The 24,769-nt window shown below is 40.0% G+C and overlaps 1 protein-coding gene and 1 pseudogene across 6 annotated transcripts in view, besides 4 other annotated features; one reads left to right on the top strand and one right to left on the bottom strand.

Moving 5' to 3' along the window:
* The window catches only part of CCDC144A (coiled-coil domain containing 144A), a 111,165-nt gene that overhangs the window by 8,921 nt on the left and 77,475 nt on the right, over nucleotides 1–24,769 (bottom strand). For 5 of the 6 annotated variants that reach the window (NR_130142.2, NR_167766.1, NM_014695.3 and 2 more), the window contains 3 exons: nucleotides 7,243–7,536; nucleotides 6,428–6,648; nucleotides 4,786–4,996 (listed from right to left, as the gene is read on the bottom strand). Coding sequence is in view for 4 of the 6 variants with exons in the window: in NM_014695.3 (NP_055510.1) it covers nucleotides 4,786–4,996; nucleotides 6,428–6,648; nucleotides 7,243–7,536 (726 nt within the window). In the remaining 2 variants the exon portion in view is untranslated. Of the gene's footprint in view, nucleotides 1–1,477; nucleotides 4,997–6,427; nucleotides 6,649–7,242; nucleotides 7,537–24,769 lie in introns of those variants that run through there. The other variant, XM_017025429.3, reaches the window with a different exon arrangement.
* Nucleotides 16,669–17,401: an enhancer, noted in NCBI's record as "H3K4me1 hESC enhancer chr17:16654874-16655606 (GRCh37/hg19 assembly coordinates)". NCBI's record gives its function as "activates a minimal SCP1, AML or CMV promoter by ChIP-STARR-seq in naive H9 embryonic stem cells {active_cell/tissue: H9 hESC(naive)}" and the evidence as "EXISTENCE:reporter gene assay evidence [ECO:0000049][PMID:30033119]".
* Nucleotides 16,669–17,405: a biological region, named in NCBI's record as "H3K4me1 hESC enhancer GRCh37_chr17:16654874-16655606".
* Nucleotides 17,316–17,405: an enhancer, noted in NCBI's record as "active region_11771". NCBI's record gives its function as "activates an Ori minimal core promoter by ATAC-STARR-seq in GM12878 lymphoblastoid cells {active_cell/tissue: GM12878}" and the evidence as "EXISTENCE:reporter gene assay evidence [ECO:0000049][PMID:35858748]".
* Nucleotides 17,526–17,585: an enhancer, noted in NCBI's record as "active region_11770". NCBI's record gives its function as "activates an Ori minimal core promoter by ATAC-STARR-seq in GM12878 lymphoblastoid cells {active_cell/tissue: GM12878}" and the evidence as "EXISTENCE:reporter gene assay evidence [ECO:0000049][PMID:35858748]".
* Nucleotides 22,091–24,221, top strand: UPF3AP1 (UPF3A pseudogene 1; annotated as a pseudogene).

Genomic DNA, 24,769 nt, shown 5'->3' with positions numbered 1-24,769 from the left:
GGGAAGGAGGAGCACCATTTGCTGCCTATCCACCACAGCCTGAACAAGAAAGATGACTGTATAACACTTATAGAAATAGTTTCTTCTTCCTTGACTTTTCTAATCTTACCATACATTCTTCACAACTACCTCCACTTTAAAGAGGGGAGTAGTTAGAAAATTTTTTTAAAGAAATATAGTGAAATCAGTACCAAAGGCAAAGTCCAATAAATACAAAGTTCACTCTTCAGCAATAACTTATTGACAGGCTACTGCTAAATTATACTTGAGATTACAGGCTGGAAAATAAGGAGCCAATAAAACTATAAAAAGTACTTCTGATATATAGGACAAAGGATCCCAGGGTTAATCTAGAATGTGAAACCTATAAGTAAAAATCAGTAAAACACAGGCATAGCAATCTATTATCACTACAATGGTGTTAAGTGGCAAGGCTATGTGGCAGGCCAGGTCTCACTAACGCAGGCCTCCATAACAACTGCTTTGGCACTGACTGAGTAGTTAAGTTAAACATTAAAAGCTGAAAGAGCCAGTGCCCTTATACAGGCTGGAATGTAACAAAAGCCCACCAAGAATCTTGCCTAGGCCTTCCCTGGGCCTTAAAGTATGACAAAATAATGAAGGAATTCTTAATAGGACCTGTTTGGTATTAAACAAGTTTTATTGGGGATCTCAAGAAACTCCCCAGGCCTCCACAAATAAGTTTATTGGGGGTCTAATGGAACTCCCAAACCTCCATGATTTAGCAGGAGACAAGATAAGGGTAATCACCCCAGCACCTGGACCCATTTAGATTAAATAAATTTACTGAAGCTCCAGAGGAAGGTCTGCAGGACTTAGATCTTTAACGTTATAGATTAAACTTATGTCTATAGACGAATGCACACTTACATGTAGATATATAGCTTAGAAGGTATATAAGCTCTGGAAAACTTTGTAATTTTGAATTGGTGTGGTAATAATTTCCAGGCCTTCCTTGTAACCCCGTAACCGGTTGCAGAAAATAAAACCTCTCTTCCCAATTCATCTGCATCTCATTACTGGACCATGATAAATAGCAGCCCGACTCTCAGTTTGGTCTGGGAACAGTCAGACTCTAGACTTCATATAATGGGGTGAGAGATGCAATAAATGCTAACTGTCATGAATGTAGAGAAAACTTGTTTCAACAACCAGTTATAATATATTATTTCTCTGGTGTGTGATTTCATACAAAATTATAACCATTTTTCTTGAGGTTAGAGAAAATGCTGAGTATGATAGCACTTCACAGTAGGAATAGTCCAAAGTGTTAAAATCTTGCAAATAAAGGAGATGTATAAACAGATCCAATATTAGTGCTATTTTTAACATTTTGCTTTTGAAAATCGTAGCTAAAAATTTCTAAATATCCTGTTTTGTAATGCCCCACCCAGAAACCCACCCCACCCAGAAACCCACCCCACCCCCTACCTTTTTTTGTAAATCTCAGTTTAGATGGTATGTTACCTCCTCCTCCTTGTATTAGCTGATGTTTTCCTATAGGAAATACTTAAGTTCCTAGCAACTCTAGAAGGCACCTTCTTTCTGTAACTCTCAAAATTCTGTAGACAACAGCTGTATAAGAACTCTTCCAAGGTGTGATTATGGAGACATGCCTTTGTATCTTTTTTTTTTTTTTTTTTTTGAGATGGAGTCTTGCTCTGTCACCTGGGCTGCAGTGCAGTGGCACAATCTTGGCTCACTGCAACCTCTGCCTCCTGGGTTCAAGCGATTCTCCTGCCTCAGCCTCCCAAGTAGCTAGGATTATAGGCGCCCGCCACCATGCCAGGCTAATTTTTGTATTTTTAGCAGAGACAGGGTTTCACCATGTTGTCCAGGCTGGTCTTGAATTCCTGACCTCAAGTGACCCACTCGCCTCGGCCTCCCAAAGTGCTGGGATTACAGGTGTGAGCCTCCGTACCCAGCACTCATATCTTGATATAATCATGCTTTTAAATCTCTTTTAGTAAATCTAACATGATTGGGCAAAAAATGCCCCACAAGGAAACTAGGTATGCCTTGGAACTACTACATTAACATTAACTTTAAAACAAACAAATTTTCTACTTATCTAGAAATACTAAAAAATGAACACCCCCTTCCCCACAAAACAGAAATTAAAAAAAAAAGATCCTCAAAAATCTTCCCTTGCATCACATCTGCTTTTATTTATTTTATTTATTTTTTTTCCCCCACCCATGAGATGGAGTCTTGCTCTGTCGCCCAGGTTGGAGTGCAGCAGCGCAATCTCAGCTCACTGCAACCTTTGCCTCCCAGGTTCAAGCAATTCTCCTGCCTCAGCCTCCCAAGTAACTGGGACTGCAGGCGCACACCACCATGCCCAGCTAATTTTTGTATTTTTATTAGGGACGGGGTTTCACCATGTTGGAGGTTGGTCTCGAACTCCTGACCTCAGGTGATCCACCCACCTTGGCCTCCCAAAGTGCTGGGATTATAGGTTTGAGCTACAGTGCCCGGCCTACATCTGCTTTTTATACTCTCTCAGCACTATCTTGTAAAATGATACATTACCTTGTTTTTCTGGTAAGTACTGTGAAAGGAAAATATCTTGGGCCTCCAAAATCACTAAGCTAAAAGGAAAACTCAGGCTGGAAACTGCTTAGGGCAAACCTGCCTCCCATTCTATTCAAAGTTACCTCTCTGCTCACTAAGATAAATGCAGATCTGACTGTCTCCTTTGGAAAAGCTAATCAGAAACTCAAAAGAGTGCAACTGTTTGTCTCTCACCTATCTGTGACCTGGAAGCCCCCTCCCCGCTACCAGTCTTCCTCCCTTTGCTTCAAATTGTCCCGCCTTTCCAGAGTGAACCAATGTACTTCTTAAATATATTGATTGATGTCTCATGTCTCCCCCTAAAATGTATAAAACCAAGCTGTGCCCCAACCACCTTGGACACATGTCATCAGGACTTCCTGAGGCTGTGTCATGGATGTGTGTCCTCAACCTCGGCAAAATAAACTTTCTAAATTAATTGAGACTTGTCTCAAATTTTGGGGGTTCATAGTACTAATGAGAACATTATATTTGCATCTTGCTTAACCATTTACAGACGTATTTAACATTCATTTCCCATTAGTACCCAGTGGTACAATTTCATGACTGAGGCATTTGGACGCTGATCATCTCATTTTTTTCAGAAAAATAAAACCTAAGCGAACAATATGATTAAAAATATCAGCTAGCTGGGCTCTTGTAATCTATGTATTAAAACAATCATTTAATGCATTCCCTTTTAAGCTATTTGGCCACAATGCTATCTAAGAAACCTTAGATTTGCTCTTCTATGATTTGTTAGGACACGAAATAGCCAGGTAAACACAACAAGGTTGAGGTTCATTCCATGTGGGCCTGCGCTACTTTTCTGTGCGCTAAGGAGATCATAAAAACATCAAAACTATAAGCCAATGTGCATCGATTGAAAATTTTAAAAACAACAATATACACAAAGAAAACTATTTATCTATTGTTGTTCAAACAAATGTTTTATGGATTTTGTAATTTTTTTAAGAGACAGAATCTTGCTATGTTGCCCAGATTGGAATGCTGCAGTGCCGTAGCTACTCACAGGAATAATCATTGCGCACTGCAGATTTGAACTCCTGGGTTCAAGTGATCTTCCTGCCTCAGCCTCAGGAGCAGCTGGGACTACAGGTGTGTGCCACTGTGCCCAGTTTTTGTAATTTTCCCTCAGTTGAAAAATGGACAAATGTTAGACAAATACCTTAATCTGGGTCAAGCATAGTTGAACTACGTTTTGTTTTTTTTTTCCTTACCAACTCTATAGTTGATACAGCTCGTCATTTTTGGATCCATTTTGAAATCCCCAGAAATAGACTCTTACTCTGAGTGAAACCACACGGTTGAACTAAAAGGTTCCTGTTACATGTCCAGGGGAGATGTCCATGTGCAGCTTTACATGGAATTTGGGGTATTAAGAATAGAACTGATTCTGTTTGGTCACATTTGCTATTGAAGGACTCTAGATACCATTGCCATCTTAGTCATCAATTACTAAAGTTATGGCCAGGTAGAGAGACAAAACTTATGTGAGCTTTACTTTAAAAATTCAAATATTTATTTGATTTAACTATTTCAAAACCACTGTGCTATTGCATAGCAATAGACACATTTTACTAAAATTGGGATTAAAACACTATTAAGTGCAATAGCAATTACAGATGTACTCATATAAGAAAATCACAAAACTTTTAACTTAAAGAACAGATTAATCAAGTGTTGCAGGTTTATATAACATATAAAAGTATTCACCTTGGGTCCTTTTAAATAATAAACATCCATGGGTGGTTAGTGTTTGGACACCAATCATTCACATATGATGACAGGTAGAAAACCTGAGATGACGCAGAAAAACTTTAAAAGTGACCCCAGGCACACTAAACCCATTAAAAGTGAACCCCAGACAAACTAAAATCAATTAGTAAGACAAAGCACATCAAAGTAAACCTTTGGTTAAAATCTAACTTAAATGCAGTTTTTAAAAAAATTTAAAATGTGTCAGTTTGGTTACATTTATTAAATAAAGTTAACAAAGGAGTAATCTCTTATCAATGAGAGCTCCAGAGACTTAAAAATAACGGTAAAATTTCTGTCTCCTCTCTTTATTAACACAGGTAATTATTACTTTTACTTACCATACACAAGACAATTAAGTAACTATTTTACCAAATAACATACAAGAATTCTATCAGAAATCTGAACGCCGAAGGAAAAAAGATAGCTAACCTTCAACAAGTAGCTCTCCATGTCCTTAAGAGCAGACCTCTTTTTTCTTGGAATATGTTTTCTGTTGAGACCTTCACTATCATTAAGATTTCCAACGCAAGGTGACTCTAGGACTGGCCTTGTAGCATAAGCAGTGAATAGAGATCTGGATCTGGTCTGCTCTTTCTCCACAGTAAGTTGCGTACTGACCTCTGCTATCATCTCATTAGTTCTATGAAGATTGAAAAAGACAAATGCTTAGTATTTCATTTTTTCCTAAATGATTCCTAAATGACTTCGATTGTTCTAAAAGTTGCCATTAAGAGTAAATGGAATATACCATAAGCCGTGTTTTAACTCTGAAAATGTGTTAGAGCATGCCTACTGTATCCAATTATAGTTTTAACATTGTTCTAAAGAAGTACATCTATTTCTAGAGGGATTTCTAACAAACAAGTAGTTCAAAGAGAGGGAGGGGACAGAAAAGACTATCAATGATGTATGGCTTCATAGTTAACACTTGTTGCCCATCTGGAATGACTCTACTTATATGATTCTTAAGGATGCCATTAGAATTACTTGTATTCCAAGGGTAACTATGTGAAATGATGAAGATATTAATTTGCTTGACAAAATAACCATTTCACTGCGTATAAATATATCAAAACATCAAGTTGTACTCCTTAAATATATACAAGAAAAAACTAAAAGTAAAAATAAAAGCTAGAAATACTTGTATTTAGTAAACAATACATGTTGTTAGAGATTGTCTAAAAAACTCTCTCTCAAAGACATTTTCAAACAATTGTTTTCACCACCCTTGTATATTTCACCCATTATCTGGAAAAACTTGAGCATTTGGCACTGAGGAATCATTCACGGCGACTTTTCCTTGGGGAGAATAAGACTGCTGAAATCAAAGAGAACTAAAGCAGCATCGAGGACAATCAGCTCCTAACACTGCGGCCCATGTATCAGAGGTGGGGCCTGCCCTTTCTGTCTTCCATATACCGCCTCAGGCTGACCAAGGTGTTATTTTTTTATCACTTAGTAAGTTATACTTCCCTTCAACCCTAGTTGATCATTCTCTGCTTCACAAGTGTGCCTTTATGTGGATTGGAAAAACTATACAGGACACTTCTTCTCAAGGCACCCTCTAATGATCACAATCAAGCAAAGTGAATTTACTGAGTGCCAGAATGTGTCCAGAGTAGTCGTACTTGACCCTTTCTGTTTTCAGCTGTCGTCTTCCAGAAATTAATTAATTAGTATTTTGAATTAAGGGAATACTGACAAGCAATTTTTATAATGGTATCACTGTCTAAATTATGAAGCTTCATAAATATTTAGCTGAAACCCTAATAGATCAGGTTAACTATATAAGAATATTAAGGGGTTGGGGGAAGCCACATAAAACCAAAAAACAGGAGAGACAGGAACTGTCCTGGACTAAGATTTTAAAGGTTACGTTCATTTACTATTTTCAATTTTACTTAAAGGTTAAGTTCATTTACTATTTATAATTTACAATTTTCCAAAATTGTATGATCTAGTTAGCTTTCACTTCCCACAAATCTCATGAACCTGTCTCACTAAAAGTCATGCTTTTGAAGGCAAATTAATGAGCTTAACTTATTTTCTATGATTCTGCATATTGACTTACCTACTGAGTTCATTTGACAAGGATTCTCTAACTTTCACTTCTTCTAGGTAGAGTTCCTTATATCTTTCCAATTCGGTTTTATTAAAGTCGGCTTGCGAAGTTTTTATTCTGGAGATTTCAGATTCCAGATCTTTGATTGTGAGTTCCATCTGAGTTTTTATTGAAGTAGTATTATCCTCCCTTAACTGTACTAACTGTTCATGAGATACTGCTGCTTGTTTCTAAAATAAATTAAAAGGGAACATTTTAAAAGTAATTATAACCTGAATAATTACTGTGTATTTGTTTCCTTTTGTTTGGAGTCAGTGACTCAGAGAACAATTTTAAGTACGTGATTCAGAGAACAATTTTAAGAAAAATGTGAAGAAAGAAAGAAGCTCAAGCTTAACATATTTATCACCAGTACCAACTGAATTAATAACTGAATCTGAATTGTTGAACAATTCTCCAAAGAATGACAGAACCAAGTTAAAATTTTAAAAGTGGAACAACGTAACTTAAAAGCAGTTCAAGAGTATGGTATAATTTCTAAATCACAATTTTTTTTTTACTTTCCCTATTAGTCTTGTTTTATGCCAACTGGCTTTAGTAATTAAATGATTCTCTAGTGAGAATTATTCTTATGGAAGATCAATTTACTTATAAGAATGATGGAAACGAAAATATTTAAATGGAGAAACAAATACCACCTTCCTTCTAGAAGTCTACCAAACAAATTGCTGTAAGGAAAGTAGAGAAAACATGTACAATGTATATATCCAAAATAAAATTTGCAGCGAAATGAATGAAAGCACATTACAGATAAATAAACCAACCTGCAAGGTGAGAATGGCTTCGTTTAATTTTTCTTCTATCTCCTTCCTTGCTCTTTCTTCAATCAACAGTTTATGCCATTCAGCTTTACCACGTTCTAACATATTTCTTTCCATATAACTTTTGAGGTTTACTACTTCTTGTTTCAGCTGCTTCTTATTCTTCTGTAGTGTTTCACATTGCTTTTGTATTGCTTTCATAGAGAATAATGTCTGTTGAAGTTGAAGAACTTCATTCTCTGCATCCAGATGTAGACATCGTGAAGGTACAGTTTCCTGTGCTTCTGTAAGGTCAATCTGCATGAGTAAAACAATATAGTTTTGTAATGAAGAAGGTAGACTGAGAATGGTCTAACAAAAAACTAATAATTTTTTTTTTTTTTTTTTTGAGATGGAGTCTCGCTCTGTCGCCCAGGCCGGAGTACAGTGACAGGATCTCGGCTCACTACAAGCTCTGCCTCCCGGGTTCAGGCCATTCTCCTGCGTAGCTGGAGTAGCTGGGACTACAGGTGCCCACCACCACCCCTGGCTAAATTTTTTTTAATTTATTTTTTATTTTTAGTAGATGGGGTTTCACCGTGTTAGCCAGGATGGTCTCGATCTCCTGACCTCATGATCCACTCGCCTCGGCCTCCCAAAGTGCTGAGATTACAGACGTGAGCCACCGCGCCCAGCCAAAACTAATAATTTTTGAAATAAATTCAGTTGCAATAAAATGTTACCTATACTGTTGTAGATTCATAAAATACAGACCCTTGGATTACTCAGAAAATTAAAAACAAAGTTAAAACCACCAGAATTCACAAAAATACATCCTTTACTTTCATCATCTTTGCCACACAACATTTGGACTTGATCTTAGACTTCTGTTTTCCTATGACTGTTTCATGGCTTTCCTCCTTAAAATGGCTCTAAGTTACCCCTTTAGCACAAAGTCTCTTATTCCTTTAACCCACTATCATTCTCCATAATTTGCAGAGAAGTTTTAGGGGCATCATATTGAATTATTTGGGCCTGAGTCAATAAATGGCTCCCATAATAAGACTCTGAAAATAAGACTCTAATTAATACATTTTGAAAAAAAAAAAAGGATTCCAATACCATAAGCCTTTTGCTGAACTGCAAATGTCTTACGCTAATTTGAGTTACATTTCAAAGAGTAATGATACTTGGAGTTAAGAAGCAATCACATCTCCCAGTATAAAAGTTCAGTGGCATGATCCATACCATTTTTCTGAAGAAAAATGCCTTAATTCAGTAGCACAATCTTGTAATTCATTGTTACTTTACACAAAATAAGGGAGCACATTAAAGAATGACAACAAAAAATTGCACTGAAATTTCAATGGTGCTGAGTTGGAAATAACTGCTTTCCTTTAGAGGAAATAATTATGATTGTTTTTTATTTTATAAAGGTAAGTGAAGTGGTGGTTTTAAAACATCTACAAATTGCTTGCCACTTCTCCCATGACATTCCCTCTCCTAAATACAAGCTGGCATTGACAACCGGTTTCTCCGGAACACAATGTGGCAGAACTGCTGTGTGACTTCTAAAGTTGGTTACAAAAAGTCACACAGCTTCTACCTGACTCTCTCTCTAGGGACGCTTGTCCTTAAAATGCAGCCAACATGCCGTGAGAAAGCCCAAACCATACCATGAACCCTCATGTAGGTAGGTGTTCGAGCTGACTTCCCTACCTAACGTCCCAGCCAAAAGCCAGCTTCGAATGCCGCACAGGTAAATAAACAAGCCTTTAGATGATTCTAGTCCCCAGCTTTAAGTCACCTCAGCTGATGCCAAGTAAAGAAAAAGGGAGTTGGCCCCACTGAGCCTTGCCTAAAACTGCAGATTGTGAACAAAATAGATGTTGTTTTGAGACACTGCATTTTGTTATATACCAAGAAATAACTGATACAGATATTGACACTACATATAGATTGCACAACAACAACACAACAAAAACTACTAAAACATGTAGGATTACCATTGGACCAGGAGCTAATCAGAAGCTGAAAGGACCTACAGAAGAATAAGCACAAAAACAAGAAGAGTTTTAAAGAGACTGTTAGTGGAAGCCTGATGGTCCTCGAAGAAGCTGGTAGGAAGGGCTCCAGGATAGTGAAGAAAACGATACGGGAACCTGAAGGAAAGGGCACTGTTACTACACAGCCGCTGAAAGTAAAACCAATGCAAGAGATAAGCTAAAGAAAGACTACTACATATAAAAGAACCAGGACTTTCTAGGTTCAGTATCCTTTTTATAGCCTCTCCACATGTCAGATTCCCAAATATAGACAGTCCTTGACTTAGCATGGTTCGACTCACCATTTTCTGACTTTTTATAATACTGTGAAAATGATATGTGTTGAGTAATGACATGATATGTGTAAGCCTTTTGGCTTACAGGGGTGGTTACATCAGGATAAAGTCACTGTAAATGGAAATTATCGTAAATGGAAAACCCACCCATAACTTCTGATATTTACAATTTATGATGGCCTATAAATTACAAATATCAGACATAACAAATGCAAATGCCATCCAGACATAAACCCATCCTAATCTGAGGAGCATCTGTATTGCTGAGATAAATGGCCTCTGAGATAAGATCAAATCCAGGGTGCTGCCAGGAGAAAGTCTGAAGGTGAAGCCAAGACTGTCAGTGTAAGGCTCTATTTTAAGACCTTAGAAAGATTTAAGGTGGTGCCTCAAATTCCCTTAAAGATCTTAAGGGTATACGCATCTTAAGGCACTGTCGTACTACACAGAACAGTGTGCTTCCTTCACAGGAAGCACAAGGTGAAGTGCTTATCTCAAAGAGATTGGGACAAGTGGTTTTTCCAATGACAAGAACTCAAGTAAAATTCACAAGAGACTCTAAGAGAATTATAGTAACAATAGCACTGCTTGCTAGCTTGGCTTAAAAGACAACAAGACAGTAAAAATGAAAAGAGGCCTTAGGACCTAAGAGCTTCTACAGGGAGGAAGCTGGCTGAAGAAACTACTTAGCTGAAAACACAGGTCATTGCTTATGAAAAGGATACAACAAAGAGCCAAGAAGGTACCACAAAAAGCCACAGAGGATGGTTCCCATGAAGTCCAAATCAAGTAAGTGGAAGCACACATCAGGCTGTATTTCAGAATTTCTATGGTCTAATATTCCCTTTGTGACTCCCATTTTCTCTCTGTTCAATAGGAGGGTCTCTGGCAGTTTAGGAGAATGCTGGGTGGGTGAGTGGTAGACAAGTTGTCCCTTTAGTTCTTACGTCTTTGTGTTGACAAGAAATGCACTCAAGGGGTTATACCGCAGAAACCACAACCCAGGGTGCATCCCTACCGTCTGTGATAAAGATGGTAGGATCTTGCACTTCAAGCCTGAGCTTGCTGCCATATTAAATGAAACTTGTGTGTGTGTGATGGGAGGTTAGGATCTTGCACTTTAAGCCTGAGTCTTCTGCCATATTAAATAAAACCTGTGTGTGGGGTGAGAGGTAATAATTAGAAATTAGTGTGTTTTTCAAGTGGTAGAAATCTTTTAAATTATAGTTATAGGGTCAATTGTGCAGGTTTTAAAACACGTCTATACATTCCTTAATATGCACAGCATAGACAGAGACATCATCGAGATGGCTGACTGGGAATACCCAGCACTCACCTCTTTCAAAAAGAAAAACCAAAACAGCAAGTAGGTAACCACACCTTGAGGAAAACATCAAAGAGAGTATACTGGAATTCAGCAGGAAATTGATAGGGATCCTCTGATGACAGAAGGAAAGGGAACTGAGGTAGCCAGCCCAACCAGGATCATCTCAAAACCAGGACCGATTCCCCCAAATCCCTAGCCCCACAGCACCATATACCTGTGGAAATAGGTGGTCATCTAATAGCCCACCAGGGAAGCTACTCTAGGTCAAAGGGATCCTAAGTGTGTGCTGTCTAGAGCCTAGGAGCCACCTGACTGACACCACTGCCACCACCAGCAGCCCTATCCCCTTCAGGGGCAGTGCTGTGCATACCTGTACATACCTTTAGGAGGCCGGAGGACTGGCCCACTCAAGTGTACCATGCAGGAGCCTGAGAACAAGCCTGTCAAGCCCACCAGGGGTGGCGCCCATGTGAGCCATATGAGAGCCTGAAGACAAGGCCACTTTGCTTGCTGCTGCTATTGTTGCTATCAGTGCTCACATACACTGTCCAGGACCCTGAGGAGCAGCCCACCCCACCCAGGCCTCTGTGCCTTTACCCAGGCCCCATCTACCACTAATACCAAGGAGAGTCCTACTGCCCCACCGGCACCTGCACGTGGCATCCAGGAGCATAAAGACAGGGCTGCCTCACCAGCCACTGGCAAAGGCTCCTGCACGTGTCTTCAGTTAACCTGTGGACAAGCCTGCTCCACACACTGCCTTAGGTACCCACCTAAATGTTCCTCATAGGGGGCCAGAGAAATGCCCATGCAGCCTGCTTTCACCACTACCAGTGCCCATGCATGCTACCAAGGGATCCAAGGTCCGGCCCCCAGCTGCTACTGTCATCTCCAGTGCCACAAGTGTCACCAAGGTCCTTTGGCCTGGCCTGCTATTGCCACCTCTGATCCCAGCACACACCACCTGGAGGCCCAAGGGCCAGACCACTCAGGTAACCCACTGCCACCAAAAACTGGGAAGCATGGCCTGGTGCTGCCAATCACACATACATCCTTGTGTATGCCATCAATGTGCCTGAGGACTGGCCTGCTGTCCTCCCCATCACCATCAAGGCCTCACCACAGCATCCCCTGCTACTAACAACCACACCGTAAGCCACTGAGGAACTTACAGACGCTGATGTTGATTACAGCAGAAGAAAGCATAAGTATATGGAGGCCACACCAATGCACCCACCCATCATCAATGCCAGAGCACCATATTCAACCAACAACATAGATACATCTACAGAAAAAAGACAACCCCTAAAACTAGATGAAGTGACTGTTACACCAGCTGCACAGTTATCAACATTAAGGACACAAGAAGTATGAAAAATCAAAGAAACATGACACCTCCAAAGGAACAGAGTAATTCTCCAGTAACAGATCCCAAAGAAAACAAAACCTATAAAATTCAAAATAATGATCTTAAGGAAACATAGCGAGATACACAATAATACAAAGGAATCAGGAAAGATTCCTGATAGGAAAGATAGGTAATACAAATGAATCAGGAAAACAATTTATGATCTGAATAAGAAATTCAACAATGAAAAAGATAGCATTAAAAGGAACCAAACAGAAATCCTGGAACTGAGAATTCAATACATAAAATAAAAACAACTGAGAATGTTGGCAATAGACTAGATCAAGGAGAAGAATGAATTTCTGAACTTGAAGAGAGGTCTTTATATGAGGCCAGGCAAACAAAAAGCAAAAATAAAAAAAATAAAATAAAAAGAATGAAGACAGTGTATGTGGTATATGGGCCATCATGAGCCAAAATTTTTTCAGATATTGGGAGTTGCAGAAATAGAAGAGATGGGAAAAGGCACAGAAAACCTATCTAATGAAATAATAGCTGAAAAACTACCAAGTCTTGTGAGAGATGTAAACATCTGGATACAGATGTCTCAAAGATCCCCAAAGAAATACAATAAAAAATGTCTTCTCTGCAGCACATCAGAGTCAAATGTCAAAAGTCAAAGACAAAGAGCAAGAGAAAAACACCAAGTCACATACAAGGGAATCCATATCAAATAGCATATTTGTCAGCAGAAACCTTAGAGGATAGGAGAGAATGACATGATATATTTAATATGCGGGAAGAAAAAGACTGCCTGTCAAGAATATTATACCTAGCAAAGCTATCCTTTAAAACTGAAAAAGAGGGGCCAGGTGCAGTGGTTCATCCCTGTAATCCTAGCACTTTGAGAGGCCAAGGTGGGGGGATTGCTTGAGCTCAGGAGTTCAAGACCAGCCTGGGCAATTTGGCAAAACCCTGTCTCTACTAAAAATATACAAAATTAGCCAGGCATGGTGGCTCATGCCTGTGGTCCCAGCTACTCAGGAGGCTGAGGCACAAGAATTGCTTGAACCTGGGAGGCAGAGGTTGCAGTAAGCTGAGATCATGCCACTGAACTCCAGCCAGGGCAACAGAGTGAGACTCTGTCTCCAATAAATAAATAAATAAAACTGAAAAAGAAATAACGTCTCAGACAAGCAAAACCTGAAGGAATGCATCACCACTAGACTGATCCTACAAGAAATGCTTACAGGAGTCCTCAATCTGGAAGCAAAAAGACAATGTCTACCACCATGAAAATCAAAAAACTGTAAGACTCACTGGTAGAGCAGGTACAGAACTGAAAAAGAGAAAGGAATCAAACATTATTACTACAGAAAACCAGCAAATTGTAGAGGTAAACAATAAAAGAGGAAGATAGGAACAAATGATAGACAAAACAATCACTAAACAATTAATAAATGAAAGGAGTAAGTCCTCACCTCTCATAAAAACTTTGAATATACATGATTTAAATTCCCCAATTAAAGATATAGATAGAATGAATGGATTACAAAAAAAGACCAAATAATATGCTGCCTACAAGAAACTCACTTTACCTGTAAAGACACATAGACTGCAAGTGAAAGGATGGAAGGATATTCCATGCAAATGGAAACCAAAAGCACACAGGAGTAGCTATATTTATATCAGACAAAATAGATCTTAAGTAAAAAAAATAAAATAAAATAAAAGAGAAAGAGAAGGGCATTATATAATAATAACAGGATCAATTCAGCAAGAGGATACAGCAGTCATAAAGGTATATATACTCAATACCTGAGCACACAGATATATAAGGCAAACATCACTGAAACTAAAGAGACAGATAGCCTCCAGTACAATAATAGATGGGGACTCCATAGTCTGACTTTCAGCATTGAAGGGATCATCTAAACAGAAAATCAACAAAGAAACATCGAAATGAACCTGCACTATAGACCACATGGACCTAGCAGACACTTACAGAACACTGTATTAAAAGCTGCAGAATACACATTCTTCTCATTAGCACATAGAACATTCTCCAGAATAGACCATATATTGAGTTTAAAAGCTCATATCAAATATCTTCTCAAACCACAATGGAATAAAAATGGAAATCAGTAACGACAAAAACTTTGTAAACTGTACAAATGCACGGAAATTAAACAGCATGCTCCTGAATGAACAACTGGGCCAATCAATAAATTAAGAAAAAAAATTTAAAATATCTTCAAACAAATGAAAATGGGGAAAAAAATCAATCCCTATAGAAAGTGACAAAAGAAGCACTAAGAGGGCAATTTATAGCAATTAACAGCTACATCCAAAAAAGAGAAAGACTTCAAATAAACAACCTAACAATACACCTGAAGAAACCAAAAAAGCAAGAACAGACCCAAAACTCAAATGTAGTAGAAGGAAAGAAATGATAAAGGCAGGGCAGAACTGAATGAGGTAGACTAATAAAGCAAAACTGCAAACTACATTAAACAAGAAAAAAGAGAAAACTCAAGTAAATAAAGAGGGAAACATAAAAGGAGATAGCAAAGAAATACATGGAGTCATGAGAGACTATTATGAACAACTATATGCCAACAAACTGGAAACGTATGGAAAATGGATACATTCCTGGAAGTGCATAACCAGCAAGAATGAACCAAGAAGAAAAGGAAACCTGGACAGACCAGTAACGGTAATGTAATTGAATCAGTAATAAAGTTTACCAACAAAGAAAGGTCTAAAACTGGGTAAGTTACTCTGAATTCTACTAAACTTTTAAGGAAAAACTAACACCAATTTTTCATAAATTATTCCAAAATCTTCCTAGTTTATTCTAAAGTTCAGTATTACTCTAAGGCCAAACCCAGACAAAGACACAACAACAAAAGAAAACTACATGCCAATATCCCTGAAGGATGCAGATACAAAAATTGTCAGAGAAATAAAGGGGATCCAGATTGGAAAACAGAAAGTCAAACTGTCTCCCTGTGCACATGACCTGATCTCATATACAGAAAACCATAAACACGCCACCAAAAGAGCCTGTTAGAACTAAAGAATTCAGCAAAGGTGCAGGCCACAAAATCAGCATACAAAAATAATGCCAATAGCATGTGTAACATTTCTATACACTAATAATCAACTAGCATAAAAAGACATCAAGAAGGCCGTCCCACTATTCTAGCTACAAAATAATAAAATGGCTCAGAATAAAGTTAACCAGAGAGATTTTGTAAAGAGCTTTACAAAAAAAAAAAAAAAAAAAAAAAAAAAACTACAAAACACTGACAAAAGAAATTGTAGAGGACACAAACATGGAAGATATTGCATGCTCATGGACTGGAAGAATATTGGTTAAATGACCTTATTACTGAAAGCAGTCTACAGACTGAACGCAAGCTCTATTAAATACCAATTTTGATGTTTTTAGGGGAAGACAAGATGGTCACCACATGCAGCCAGGAGATGCCTCTCTGCGAGAGAGAAACCAAAATATCAAGTAAATTATCACACTTGGAGTAGGTCTTTGGAGAGAAAACACTGAAATTTGATAGGTAATGCAGGCATCAAGGCTGAAGAGGAATAAATCTGGGAAGCCTGCACAGAGTCACCAAGCACTAGGATTACCTCCCAATCCAGAAACTAAGGAAGGGGTGGGTGAAGGAACTGTGCAGCACCACACTCCCACCAACGAACTCTGGGATACTAGCTCCCAGAGATCCCTGGACCCACACAGACATCTGAACTGGCAAGAGGAACCGGCTGGCGAATAGGCAGAGGCACAGCTCAAACCCGCATACAGCCCAGAAGGTTTCGCACCTGGTACGGCTGCAGCAAAACATGACCATAGGCACCCATCCCCCAAGGCTCTCCATCTTGCTCTGAGTGACTCTAGCTCCTGCTTACTGCCAGGCCAGAAGACAGTAGGGCTGCATTTACCATGGGACTGCAGCATATCTGGTCTGTGTACCTTCTTGTCCACCAGCCCCTCCCAAGGCCCCTGCCTAGCTACTCACGCAAGGGTAAGCACACAGCACAGCCTCCACTGCCCCATCTGAGTGCTTTGCCGGAGGCCTGGGAGCAGTTCAGCCCCCACCCTCAGCACAGCCAAAGCTCAACCCCATGAGACCAGAAGACAAAGTCATGAACCTGGTCTCAATACCCCCCGGATTCAAGCACACTGCTCAAGTATACTGAGCTGGTGTCTGTGGCCTGAGCTCAAGAAGAGGAGTAGCTTTCTCTCTCACAATGCCGAGAAGAGAGGGCCCAAGTTCATATGTCAGTGTGGGAGCCGGGTGTGCTCCCTCTGCAACAGCAGTCCCCAACCTTTCTGGCACCAGGTGCTGGCATTGTGGAAAACAATTTTTCCACAGACGGTGGGGTGGGGATGGTTTCGCGATGGAACTGTTCCACCTCAGATCGTCAGGCATTAGATTCTCATAAGGAGCACGCAACCTAGATCCCTCACGTGCACAGTTCACAACACGGCTCGCGCTCCTATGAGAATCTAATGCCGCTACTGATGTGACAAGAGGCGAAGCTCACGTGGTAATGCTCACTCACCAGCCCTCCCCTCACCTCCTGCTGTGCGGCCCAGTTCCTAACAGGTCACAGACCAGTACTGGTCTGCCACCTGGAGGTTGGGGACCCTGTTCTACAAGATCTGTCCAGGAAGGGTGTAACCTGTCTGTCCACAGCCTCTGCCTGAGGGAGCACCACTGCCTGAAACAGCTAACAGTCCAGTTGATCTGGGCACAGAAGGCTGGGGGACAAAACTACCTAGTTGGGCCTGCCCTGGGGGCAGACACTGGAGGGAGGCCTGGTTGGGTGAGTGCGAGCTAAGTGCTCCCCACAGCCATCTGCTGGGCAAAAAACCCTGGGCTGCAGGCACCACACCAGGTGCACACCCACAGAACCACAGCCCTGCCCGGGGATCCTCCCCCCTTGACCCACATTATATCAACAGACGACCCGCAGATCCGCAGACATACTCTACAACCTGCTCTGACTCTACCAAGCCCAGACAACCAGCACATCCCCAGAGAGTTGTAGGTCTCTCGGCAACCTAACTTTTGGCTTGGGCCGCTGCCCTAAGGGTGGGAGGTGTGCAGCCCTCAAAATTCAGGTGTGGCACCAGTGATTGGAGGGGGCTCTCCCAAGTTCCAGGAACTGATTTGGTGAGGGGGTTATCTCTCGCCTTCACAATCCTACTTTTCCCCCTTCCCCAGAGCACTGCTGCCAACACGCTGAAATAGAAAAGAGGCATGCCAGCCCGTACTCTAGAGCACCATCTCCTGGATTGCAGACTGAATTACACCACCAAACAAAAATCATTATATACCTTCAACACACATCTGTGAAACCCAATGCAGGAAAGTAGCCACAAGGAAGGAACCTGTGTAGAGTCCTGGCCATCTGAAACCACCCAGAAAAAAAGGCCAATCAACTATACACAATACACACCACAAACCCTCAAGAGAAAAAAAAGAACATAAAAACAAAAATCCCCATCCAAATGACAGGAATTTCAAAACGATAAAGAAACATCAGCATTTTCAGAGGAGGAATAATCAGTACAAGAACTCTAGCAATTCAACAAATCAGAGCATTTCATTACCTCCAAAAAATCACACTAGCTCCCCAGCTATAAATTCTCACCAGATTAAAGTGTAATGACTTGCTTTATCACAGACATGTGATTCAGAATCTCAGTGGCAACAAAGCTCAATGAGATTAAAGAGAAAGTTGAAATCCAATCCAAGGAAGCCAGTATAACCATCCAAAAGTTGAAACACGACAGAGCCATTTTTAAAAAGAATCAAACTGAACTTCTGGAGCTGCAAAATTCAACACAGGAGGGACCTTCAAAACCAGATGAGACCAAGCGGAGGGAAGGATTACAGAGCTCAAAGACCAGTCTTTTGAGTCAGCCCAGTCAGACAAAAATAAAGAAAAAACCATTTTAAAAATGAACAAAACATCTGAGGAATGTGGGATTTTGTAAAGACACTAATCTATGACTCATTGGCATGGCTGAAAGAGAAGGAGAGAGAGGAAGCAACATGGAAAACATGTCTGAGGATATAGTCCATGAAATTTCCCCAATCTCATTACAGAGGTCGATGGAAAAATTCAAGAAATTCAGAGAACCTCTACAACCATCCCCAAGATACACAGCCCATCAGACTTTCCAAGGTCAACACGAAAGGAAAAATCTCACAGGCAGCTATAACAGCTGCATCAGGTGAAAAGCTGACCTCTTTCTGGCAAAAACCTTATAAGCCAGAAAGTGGGGCCTGTTGTCAGCATCCTTAAAGAAATTTCAGCCAAGAACTTCATACCACTCCAATCTAAGCCTCATCAGTGACAGAGAAATACAATCTTTTCCAGACAAACACTAAAGAAATTCATTACCGCTAGACCAGACTTACAAGAGATTCTTAAGGAGTTCTAAATATGGAAAAGAAAGAACAATACCCACTACCACAAAAACACACCTAAGTACATAGCCCACAGACCCTATTACACAACTACACAATCGAGAGTACAAAGCAAACAGCTAAAAACATCATGGCAGAACCAAAATCTCACATATAAATATTAATACTGAATACAATGGTCTAAATGCCTCACTTAAAAGGCACAGAGTGGCAAGTTGAATTAAAATAAAACAAACCAATAAGAATCAACAGTCTGCTATATTCAAAAGACACATCTCACATGTAATGGCACCCACAGGCTCTGAGTAAAGAGATGGACGAAGATCTGTCATGCAAATAAAATGCAAAAAGCAAGGGGTTGTTATTCTTAGATAAAACAGACTTTAAACCAACAACAGCCAAAAAAGGATGAAGAAGGGCATTACACAATGATAAAGGATTCACTTCGCCAAGAAGACATCCCTATCCTAAATACATACCCACCCAACACTGGAGCACCCACATTCAAAAACAACCAAGTACTTCCAGACCTACCAAAAGACTCAGTCACACAATAACAGTGGGGATCTTCAACATCTCATTGATAGTGTTAAGGCAAATCATTGAGACAAAAAACTAACAAAGAACTTCTGGGCTTAAATTTAACACTTGACTAATTGGACCTAACAGACATCTACAGAATACTCCACCAAACAACTACAGAATACACTTTTTTCTCATCTGCACAAAGAACATACTCCAAGATCAACAACATGTTTGACCATAAAGCAAGTCATGATAAATTTTTAAAAAATGAAATCACACAACACCATTCTCTTGGACCACAGTGCAATAAAAATAGAAATGAATACCAAGAAGATCTCTGAAAACCACACAATTACATGGAAATCAAACAACTGGCTCCTAAATGACTTTGGGAAAAGAAAGAATTTAAGGCAGAAATCAAACAATGATTTGTAATAAGCAAAAAGAAACATCATACCAAAACTTCTGGGATACAGCGAAAGCAGCATAAGAGGAAAGCTTATAGTGCAAAACAAATATGTTGAAAAGTTAGACAGATCTGTAATTAACAATCTGACACTGCGCCGAGAGGAACTAAAAAACAAGAACAAAATAACCCCAAAGCTGGCAACAGAAAAGAAATAAATAAAATTAGAGCATAACTGAGAAAACTTGAGGCCCAAAAATCCATACAAAGGATCAGTGAAACCAAAAGTTGGCTTTTTGAAGGGATAAAAATACTGACAGGCTACTAGCTAGATAAATAAATAAATAAATAAATAAATAACAGAGAACATCTAAATAAGCACAATCAGAAACAACAAAGACGACATTACAACCAATCCCACAGTAATACAAAAGATCCTCAGAGACTACAATGAACACCACTGTATACACACAAACTAGAATATCTAGGAGAAATGGATAAATCCTTGGAAACCAACAAAGATTGAACCACGAGGAAATTGAAATCATGAACAGACAAATAACAAGCTCTGAAATTGAATCAGTAATAAAAAACCTACTAGCCAAAAACAGATTCAGATCAGACTGACTCATAGCCAATTTCTACCAGACATACAAAGAAAAGCTGTTAACAAACCTAATGAAACTATTCCAAAATATTGAGGAGATACTTCTCCCTAACTCATTGTATGATGCCAGCATCATCTTGATACTAAAAGCCAGCAAAGACACAATGAATAAAGAAAACTACAGCCCAATATCCCCAATGAATGTAGACACCAAAGTCTTCAATAAAATATCAGCAAACAAAATCCAGCAACACATCAAAAACTTACTTCACCACAATCAAGTCAGCTTTATTTTTGTGATGCAATTGGTTCAAAGTACACAAATCAATAAATGTGTTTCACCACATAAACAGAATGAAAACTAAAAACCATATGATCAACTCAAAAGATGCAAAAAAGCTTTCAATAACGTCCATCATCCCTTCATGAAAAAAACACCCAACAAATTAGGCATCAAAGAAACAGACCTCAAAATAATAAAGGCCACTCTATAACAAACCCACAGCTAAAACCATACAGAATGGGCAAAAGCTGGAAGTGGGGGCTAAGTGCACTGGCTCATGCTTGTAACCCCAGCATGTTGGGAGGCGAAGACAGGAGAATCACTTGAGGCCAGGAGTCTGAGACCAGGCTGGGCAACACAGTGAGACCTTGTCTCTATAAAATAGTAAAGAAAAAAATTAAAGAAAAAAGAACAAAAACAGTTGGAAGCATTCCCCTTGCCCACTGGAACAAGACAAAGATGCCCACTCTCACCGTATGTATTCAACATAGTACTGGAACTCCTAGCCAGAGCAATCAGGAAAAAGAAAGAAAGAAAAGGCATCCAAAAAGGAAAAGAAGCCAAACTATCTCTCTTTGCTGATGATATGATTCTGTACCTAAAAAACTCTAGAGTTTGCCAATTTATCCTGGAACTGATAAATGACTTCAGTCAGGACACAAAAATCAATGTAAAAATATCCATAGCATTTCTACATACCAATAAAGTTCAAGCTGAGAGACAAATCAAGAATGTAATCCAATTTGTAATAGCCACACACAAAAAAGCAAAATACTTAGGAATGCATCTAACTACAGAGATGAAAGGTGGTTACAAGGAGAACTACAAAACACTGCTGAAAAAAATCATGACACCAAATAGATGACACCAAAAAAATGGCAAAACATTCCATGCTCATGAATTGGAAAAATCAATAGCATTAAAATGGCCATACTGCCCAAAGCAATCTACAGATTCAATACCATTCCTATCAAACTACTAATGTCATTTTTCACAGCATTAGAAAAAACTATTCTAAAATTTCATATGGAACCAGAAAAGAGCCCAAACACCCAGAGCCATCCTAAGCAAAGAGAACCAAGCCTGATGCATCACATTACCCAACTTCAAACTATACTACAGTAAACAAACGCTACACTAAACAAATCAGCACGGTACTGGCACAAAAACAGACACATAGACCAATGGAACAGAACAGAGAGCCCAGAAATAAAGCCACATGCCTACAACCATTGGGTCTTTGACAAAGCCGACACAAATATGCAATGGGGAAAGGACTCCCTATTCAATAAATGGTGCTGGGATGACTGATTATCCATACACAGAAGAATGAAACTTGACCCCTAGCTATCACCACATACAAAAATTAATGAAAGCTGAATTACATTCTTAAAATAAGACCTCTAACTATAAAAATCCTACAAGAAAACCTAAGAAATACACTATTAGAAATCAGCCTCTGAAAATAATTTATGAATAAGCCCTCAAAAGCAATTGCAACAAAAGTCAAAATGAAAAATTGGGACCTAGAGGGGAGGGAGGGGAGGGAGGGGAGGGAGAGAAGGGAGAGAAGGGAGAGGAGGGAGGGGCGGGGGCCGGGCCTCCCAGCGCGGTACGCGGTGCCTTTTGAGCTCCTTGTCCACGCTCCGCCCCGGTGGGAACGGCCGCGCGCTCCCCGCAGGTGGTCATCTGCCGCCTGCCTCCGGGCCTCACCAAGGAGCAGCTGGAGGAGCAGCTGCGCCCGCTGCCAGCACACGACTACTTCGAGTTCTTCGCCGCCGACCTGAGTCTTTATCCTCATCTCTACTCAAGAGCATACATTAATTTTAGGAATCCTGATGACATCCTTCTTTTTAGAGATCGTTTTGATGGATATATCTTCCTTGACAGCAAAGATCCAGAATATAAGAAGTTTTTAGAAACCTACTGTGTGGAGGAAGAGAAGACCAGTGCCAACCCTGAGACTCTGCTGGGGGAGATGGAGGCGAAGACAAGAGAGCTCATTGCTAGAAGAACCACACCTCTTTTGGAATATATTAAAAATAGAAAATTAGAAAAGCAGAGAATTCGAGAAGAGAAGCGAGAAGAACGGAGGAGAGAGTTAGAAAATAAACGTTTGCGGGAAGAGGAAAAAAGAAGAAAAGAAGAAAGATGCAAAAAAAAAAAAAAAGAGAGAGAGAGACAGATAAACAGAAGAAAATTGCAGAGAAAGAAGTAAGGATTAAGCTTCTTAAGAAACCAGAAAAGGGAGAGGAACCAACCACAGAGAAACCAAAAGAAAGAGGAGAGGAGATTGATACTGGAGGTGGCAAGCAGGAATCCTGTGCTCCCGGTGCAGTCGTAAAAGCCAGGCCCGTGGAAGGCTCGCTGAAGGAGCCCCAGGAGACGTCACACAGCGGCAGTGATAAAGAGCACAGGGATGTGGAGAGATCTCAAGAACAAGAATCTGAATCACAAAGACACCATGTGGATGACGGCAGGAGGCACAGAGCTCACCACGAGCCTGACCGGCTTTCCAGAAGGAGTGAGGATGAGCAGAGATGGGGGAAAGGACCTGGCCAAGACAGAGGGAAGAAGGGGAGCCAGGACAGCGGGGCTCCGGGGGAGGCCATGGAGAGACTGGGAAGAGCGCAGAGGTGTGACGACAGTCCAGCACCCAGAAAAGAGCGACTGGCAAACAAGGACCGGCCAGCCTTGCAGCTGTATGATCCAGGAGCTCACTTCCGAGCGCGAGAGTGTGGCGGAAACAGGAGGATCTGCAAGGCAGAAGGTTCGGGGACTGGTCCTGAGAAGAGGGAAGAGGCAGAGTGAGTCACTGCACGCACCTGGCCTCCATGGACGAGCGAGGGCATCCCAGAAACGTGTAAATGACCCCGAGTGTGACTGGGAAGGAGAACTTATTCCTTACCAGGAAACTGGAAGCTAAAAATACAGAGGGTGACATAGAAACACGCAGAAACCATTCTAAAGAAAGTAGTGATCTTGTATTAAATTGAGCAGAATTCTCACAGATTTTACCATTCCTGTTATAAACTAGTATTTGTTGTTTAGCCAAAACAGAAAATGATTTCCACTGGACAGTAGAAAAATATGTGTAAAATAGGGAAGAAAGTTAGTATTGGATCAGTGTGAGTCCTGAAGCACTTTCAGTGCTGTGAGAACGACATCCACTTTGGGTTTCATTCGTTTGTAAGCAGAGGAGCTGTCAGTCACTCGTGCTTCTCGGTGGCCTCTGAGCCATGGTGTCGAGTGAAGAGTAGTTCTTGTTTGTTACAACCTTTGTGAGTCAGCCATGCCTGCAAAGTGTGCTGTGTTTTAGTCCTGGTAGGAATATTTATCAGAGTTCACACTATATAAAACCCAACAGCTTCAACTATTGCCCTTTCAACAGTTTTGCCACTGACCAGATAAAAATGGTTTCAGTCTTTGGATGGATGTGTTTGTGGTTTGTAACCATTACGGTTTAAATCATGATTTAAGAATTTGCCCAAATAACAGAAATTTTGTTCGGGAAGGGATAAACGAGATATAGCACACACAGCCTGTTTTTGAGTTTTAGATACTTTATTTGTAAATAACTTAAAATAGCTTTCTGAAACCGTGCATTCTGTAGTTTCTTCCTTTCAGTGAAATTGCTAAATGTGAATGTATTTTTGGCACTGCGATTTTAACCATTTATTAAGTAAAAATTTTGTTAAAGAAAAAAAAAAAGAAAGAAAAATTGGGACCTAGTTAAACAAAGGAGCTTCTGCATAGGAAAAGGAACCATTCAAGAGACTAAATAGGCAACCTAAACAATGAAAGAATGTATTTACAAGCTATGCATTGAACAAAGTTCTAATATCCAGAACCTATAAGGAACTTAAATCAACAAACAAGAATTTAAAAAAATATATAAAAGCGGGCAAAATACATTAACAGACACTTCTCCAAAAAAGACATAAAAGTGGAGAGCAAACATATGAAAAAATGCTCATCATCACTGATCATCAGAGAAAAGCAAATCAAAGCCACAATGACATACCATCTCACACCAGACATAATGGCTATTACTAGAAAGTCAAAAAATAAGCAACAACAACCCAGATTTTGGCAGAGCTGCTACAGTGAAAAGGGAATTCTAATACACTATTGGAGAAAATGGTAAATTCGTTCAGCCACTGTGGAAAGCAGTTTGGAGGTTTCTCTCACGGAACTAAAAGTAGAACTGCCATTCAACCCAGCAATCCCATTAGTTGGTTAAATATCCA

This window comes from Homo sapiens, chromosome 17 (assembly GCF_000001405.40).
Source record: "Homo sapiens chromosome 17, GRCh38.p14 Primary Assembly".
Lineage (NCBI taxonomy): Eukaryota > Metazoa > Chordata > Mammalia > Primates > Hominidae > Homo > Homo sapiens.
Note: the sequence above shows the minus strand (reverse complement) of the source record. Positions and strands in the feature narration are given on the sequence as shown.